The following is a 6,730-nucleotide window of genomic DNA, read 5'->3' as shown; positions in this document are numbered from 1 at the left end:
GGTTTCCTCTCCTAAAGACATTTTGTTTTACCCTTTACGTGGCTAGGTTGAAACTTTTTCGAATCTCTCCACTCTGCTTCCCTTTTTATTTATAAATTGTTCTAAGTTATTCTTTTGCTCCTGAATCTCAGTATAAGCAGCCAGAAGTAACTCTGTATCTCCTATAATTTTCTTAGAAATTTCTTCTGCCAGACATCCTAGTTTTTCACTCTCATATTTGGCCTTCCACAAAGCCCTTGAGCATCCACAATTCAGGCAACATATTTGCCAATTTATAACAAGCGCAGCATTTACTCCAGTTTCCAATACGATGTTCCTCAGTTCCATCTGAAGCCTCATCAGAATGAAATGGACTCATTGCCTGGGGTGACACCCAAAGTTCATAGTCTCATGGCTGAAGAATTCAAGGAGGCAGACACACCAGGGGTGATATCAGAGCAGAAGCAGAAGTTTAACAGGTGAAAGAAAGAGGACAGCTCTCTGCAGCAGGGAGGAGTCCAGGAAAGGATTGCATTTTTCACAGTTGAATGCACAGGCTTTTATAAGAAATCAATGAGGGCTGGACATCTCATTTGCATAAGGCACAAATTTCTGGTAACTCCACCCTGTCCTCCTAATGTGCATGAGGGCCTGTAGCTTGAGTTATTCTATATTGCTTTGTTCCCCTTACTGTGCATGTGTCAGAGGAAGGAATTTGTTATTGTGGGCATGTCTGGGCAAGTCATCTGAGTTGCCTTTTTTATCTGTGTATCTGTGGGCACATCTTAGGCAAGCGTCCCTGTGTAAGTTTCCGTTTTGTGCCTGCAGGCTGTTCTTTTGTTTGAAAGAATTCAACAGAGGACCCACCCTAACTGCCTACCTGATCAAATTTTTTCCTTTCTCCTCTCTCATTTCCTGCCTCAGCAGTGGAGATCCTAATTGCTGTTAGAGGGAATGGTATTAAATTCTAGCTACTTCCTCTTGGAGAGGGATGTAGTGTAGGGGAAGAGCAGCTAGGGTTCCTCCTAGTGTTGATTTAAGTGTCCTCGGAAGGAAGGCACACCCATGTATGGTTACATTTGCATCACCATTTAGACCTTGATAGCCTTTAGTCAAGGAAAAGCAATTTAGGTTATTAAAGGAAATGTATTAAAATGAAACCAGGGGGAGGTAAGGACAGCCTGAAAATCCCAAGGCTGTCGACATGCCCAGATAACGGGTGACTATAGTTATTCCTGTTAAGATTTGGGTGCATGGGGCTTGGCTTTGGTTAACTTTTTTGGTTTTATTTCCCAAACAAATAAATCTCTGAGTTATGGGCACCATATATACTCTCATCACATCAAAGGATTTGCAAGATAATTGCCCATAAGTAGAATAATGGTAGAGGTTTTTACATTACCCATCCCTTTTTGTTTCTTCTGAACTACAACTGGAGATTGCTGGTGGGTTTACAGAAATAAGCAGAGTTAGTCTAAGAGGTGGGCAAGAACTTAAAAAACAACCAATGAGATTTAAATTTAATGACAAGCATAAAATAAATTTTGAAACATATTTTTTTTTTCTTTTCAGTCCTCGTTTTTGTTGAATACAAACCATGATAGGACTGAGTTGTTTGCAAAATAAAATTTAGTCGTATACTTGACCTGATTATTTGCATAAAGTACAGCAAGAATAATTATTTTTACATAGTTTTTTTCAAATTAGCTTTGATGGAACTCTGTACCACAAGGAATCTCAGATAAGACTTTTCAAAGCCAAGCCCAGACATGGGTTTGTACTGTCAAATACCTATGAGTTGGGAGAATGCCTTTTTTTTTTTTTTTTGAGGTTCCAAGAACATGGGGTTCCTGGCTCTGTTAAAAAGTGACATTCTTTACTCAGCACAGGTTAGGAACCCTGTACAGAGGCTGTGTAGACATGGTATGAAGCCAGTTCTCTCAATGGGCTTTTATTGGCTTTGCAAGTCAAGCTTGATTTCCATAAAGGGAAGCACATCCGTCCAGCCACAGCCTTGGTCAAACAATCAGTTTCTCCAATTGTGTCCTGTTGCAAAATAAAATGGATTCTCATTGCACTCATGAAAATAACAACATTGCCATAAGTTAAGAATCAAAACTGTAGAGGAACCAGGCAGAGAGAAACAAATATACTCCAAATTTTGTTTACAGGAGTATACTCAATTGTTAAAAGTAGATAAGTTAAAAGTTTCCTTGACTCTGAAGAACAAAACAAGGATTAGCAACGTTTCAAGCCGACTGAAGAAAGATTACTTTAGATTTCTATTAGTTTAGTTCTTGCAGTTAACTCTTATTTGACATTCAGGAATATTTCAGCTCTTCATGATTCCCGTACATTTTCCTTTACTCCCATGTCACAATTTCCAAAGTTATCAGAAACCTACATATTAAAGCACCTGTCAAAGTCCTATAGCTGATTATAAACCATATTTTGTAGGGGACTAAAACAAGACAATAATCATGTTTGAATGATGAAATATCCAGGGTAGTTACACTTAAAAATGTGATGGACAAATCTGTCTATTTTTATGTTTTACAATAGTTTAACACAATAATTTTAATTATGATTGATGGCATATACTCAGACATTAGGATTTTAGACATCCCATATGATTTTGAAACATATGTTAATATTATTCACTGAAATATAACCTAAAGAAGATTAAACATAATTTTGGCAATCCTACATACCTTAACATGTTAAATAATCCTGTTTACCTCTCTTCTGGATGCTTCAGGGGCACTCTGTAGACAATTTTGAAACTGAAGTTTGATTTTGAGAAGCCTGTTAAATGTTAGAGGTTTAAAGCACTTGATATTATTAAATGCAAATCCAGATTATCATTATTTATTTTGCCAAAATAATGACTTAAAAATTTTAAAAGAAAGCAAAAACCTTTACTCATTAAGAGGGAAGACAGCTTTCCAAACAGTTTGTCTTCTGTCTTCTCTTTCCTCCCTTTGGCAGTCTATCTGCAAAGCAAATGAAAAATCTTTCATTATCCTTCACTATTTCATGAAAATATTGTGCAAGGGAGAGAAGGCTGAATTTCACCCTTATATTGGTTTCAAAATAATCCTTTATTCCTAGGCAAGATTTACATTACCATGCCTTTTTATCATCTTTTACCACAAACACATTTTACTGTTTTTACACACCTTGCATGTAAATCTATTTTCAGTAGTCTCATCTGAGTGTTTTAATGGTAACTTTTAGCAATTTTTAACTTTAATGTAAAATCTGGTAAGTTGTTTTAATTATGTGCTAGGCTCAAATAAAGTCTGATTTTTTTCCAGCATAGATAGTGGTGTGGTTAATTTTGTATGTCCCCAGGCATTACCAAGTTGTTAAGCAGGCAATTTCCAACCTTAAAACATTTAGCAAACCTAGTATCTGACTTACATGATTTAGACAACCTATTTATATTTTGACAACATTTGCATTTTTACCAATTATCTTTATAACTATTTTTAATGCTTAAAGATTGAAGTCACATGAATTAAAAGGCATTACAGCTTTTATCTTTCCATTAAAAATATTTGAATTAAGCACTTATTTTTCTTTAGGCCAATCAGTTAGAGCTCTTTTTATAGACATCACACAAAACACACATATAACAATGTAGAAAAACAGAAGAGGATCCAGTCATTACAAGATTTTTTGTTTGCCAATTTCCTAATTGGATTATTGTCCTCTGGGTGTGGCTCTTTAAAAGTAGGGCTAGGAAAGAATGCAGTTTCTGGGGAAGACAAAAACAGATTTTGAGAGGATCTATTTGCCTCTAATACCTGGAGTTCCATGAAGTAAACAGAGGTTTCTCTCAAAATGGAATTTGGGGCACCCAAAGAATCCCACACCATTGGAAGTTATTTTGGGGCCTCTTATGCATGCTATAAGAGTGGCAAGACAAAACAGAGAAAAAGAATTCAGTTGACTGAGGAAAAAAACTTTTGTATAAAAACAAGCTCCAAGAAGAGAAAAATGTAAAGGCCTTTTAAATATACCTATAACTTGGATATTCAGTTTTAATTAAGCTGAGTGATCTTTAAGAAAATCCTTTTAAATCTCTAGTTACCTGACTTTTAGCCATGCCAACCAGTTAAGATTTCTGGCTTTTGAACTTTATCAAATGTAATCTGACAGGTGAAACCAACAAGCCTCAATTAAGGTTATGATTTAACTTCGATTGTACGAGTTATTTTCAAAGAAGTGGTAAGCCGATTTTGAAATCACCATTGCAAAATTGTAACTAAAACTGTTAAAGATATCTGACCCAACCAACTCCATTCTACTTCTAGCCTGCAAGCTGTCCCTGTTCATTCCTTGGTGAAGGCTGACCAACACTGGGAGAAACTTAGTTCATAGTTTATAGTCCAAAACAAAGATGATAAGAGCCCTGTCCAAGAACAAATCTCCTTTTTGCCTGGGGACCAGACTGCCTTTGTAGGACCAAGAAACCAAGCACAAGATTATAAACTATGGTTTAAGATTCACATAGCTGGAGGCCACAAGATTTTGACCCTCCCTAAACTGCTCCCAAGATCAACACTTGAGATATTCTGCAGACCCTGAAATTGATGGACCAGCTGGCACCACCCAGACCAATAGACTGGCTCATCTGATTTTGTGGCTCCAACCCAGGAACTGACTCAGCAAAGGAAGACAGCCTCAATTCGTTACAATTTTATCTCTGACCTGGCCAATCAGCACTCCTGGCTCACTGGCCTCCCCTCACCCACAAAGCCATCCTCAAAAACTCTGCTCTCCAAATGCTCAGGGAGACTGACCCGAAGTAATAACAAAACTTCAGTCTCTCACACAGCCAGCCCACGTGAATCACCCTTTCTTCATTGCAGCTGCCCTGTTTTCATAAATAGGTTCTGTCCAGGAAGTAGACAAGATGAGCCCATTGAGCAGTTACACTTTTACAAAATCTAGAAACTTTAAAGGCAACTCAGAGAAAGAAAGGATTAGGAAAGGAAGTCAGAAGTTGTTCATGGAGGAGAAGAGAATCAGCAAATGGCAGAAGTCACAGATATTAATCCAAAAGTACTCATTTCCCAAGCAAGGATTGAACTTGGGCTGCCATTGCAAAATGGCAGAGGCTAAAACAAAGTTCTGCTATGTGGTTATAGGTTATGCCCAAGAATGTAAAACAAAATGGAGGCCTGTAACAAAGTTTGTTACTGACCAGTTTACCGGGCTGGCTTGAACAGCAGGCTTATGGAGTTCTAGACTCACATTCTATCCTAAGGTAACCCTCTTTCTGACAGAACCATACAGAAGGACACACAAAGCACACCAGATTGACTGCAGCTTAAAACTAACGTCACAAATCCTTTTTCATTAATCACAACTCTACAGAGAATATAAACAGTGATCCTTATTATTCCTTTTACCAGTTTGCAAAGGGAGAGAGAAGCCAAAAGCCCAACTGGCAACAAAATTTTTACCTTTTTGCCAGCATGTCAAGCTTGGGTTCCCTTCCCTCAAGCTCAACTCTTAGCCAAGCATTTTAAGGTTTGAGAAATTAACTTTCCCCAGTTTGGAGGGACATTATAAAAGAAGAGATAGGAGCTATTTACAACTGGGAAAGAAGGAAGAAAAAAAAAACATAGAAAAATCTGGGGTTTTGGGTGGTAGAACTGGAGAAGTTGTTGATGTGAATAGGGGTGCAGGAAGTGCCAGGGCATCTGGAAGTTGCATTTGAGGGTTCCCTGGGAGTTTGGTTCTTTGACTTTGAGGAATTATCTCCTGTAGGCTTGCCTATATGATCGTTAAGAGAACAGTGTCCATTTTACAATGATGACAAGGTCTGGGTTGTCTCACAAGGCAAAGAATGCTTACACATAGGGAACCTCAGACCATTTGCCCTTCCACCTGCAGAAAAGATCTAGTTGTCCAATATTATTGATATTAGCATTTTCCTGAAGAGACCAGCTCCTCACCCCCATTCTGCTGTTGGTGAGATAGCCATGCCTGAGTGCAAATGAATATGAGGCAATTTTTGTTTACAGTTAATGGTCAAAGGAGTCCCAGTGATCCCATCTGCACTCAAGGGGAGTGCAGGTTGAAGATGGTTTATTACCCATCTACAAAGAAAAAGGACAAAGGTGTTCCTCAGTCTTCATTCTTCCTTTGGAGTGACCTAGGGTAGAGAGCAAAACATTGGGGATGTCCCCCCTTCTATTTTCCCTCCTCGGTTCTCTGGGGGCCTGGCATCTATTAAAGGTGCCAACCATCGATGAAGGCATGACCCTCACACATGGATCTGGAGGAGCTAAGCAGCAGTAATAGTCATGTTCACCTGCAAGACCCCATTTCTCTGCTGATGATTTTCCTTTGATTTCCTACACTTGTGGGATCTGCCTGGCTCCCTGATAGGTGGATCTCTTGAGAGACTATGTAACAGTTACATTTGGGCCAGGCCTCTTAATGGAGGAAATATTCTGGGTTGAGCCCTATATTCTGCTATTATGGCCCATGCTAAAGTATTTATTCTTAAGCAGTGGTTCCAGTTGACTTCCAGACCTAAAAGCCCCTTTCTACTTAAATACCATTCTAATTGATGGCAGAATAGGTGTCTCAAAAGAATGTAGGAATCACATGAGGCCGAAATTTGGTTTCAGAAGACATTTACCTCCTCACTATCAAAGAGAGAGTTTTGCCACTCACAGAGGGAGAATAAAACCTTGTCACTAGTAGAAGGGCACAAAAGAGTGAAGAATTG

At 38.6% G+C, this 6,730-nt stretch overlaps 1 annotated feature.

Moving 5' to 3' along the window:
• Positions 1 to 1,200: an enhancer, noted in NCBI's record as "P300/CBP strongly-dependent group 1 enhancer chr3:83983329-83984528 (GRCh37/hg19 assembly coordinates)". NCBI's record gives its function as "activates an origin of replication core promoter dependent on BRD2, BRD4, P300/CBP, MED14 and CDK7 cofactors, with strong dependence on P300/CBP, by STARR-seq in HCT116 cells {active_cell/tissue: HCT116}" and the evidence as "EXISTENCE:reporter gene assay evidence [ECO:0000049][PMID:35650434]".

The sequence above is a fragment of the Homo sapiens genome, chromosome 3, assembly GCF_000001405.40.
Source record: "Homo sapiens chromosome 3, GRCh38.p14 Primary Assembly".
NCBI classification, from domain to species: Eukaryota; Metazoa; Chordata; class Mammalia; order Primates; family Hominidae; genus Homo; species Homo sapiens.
Note: the sequence above shows the minus strand (reverse complement) of the source record. Positions and strands in the feature narration are given on the sequence as shown.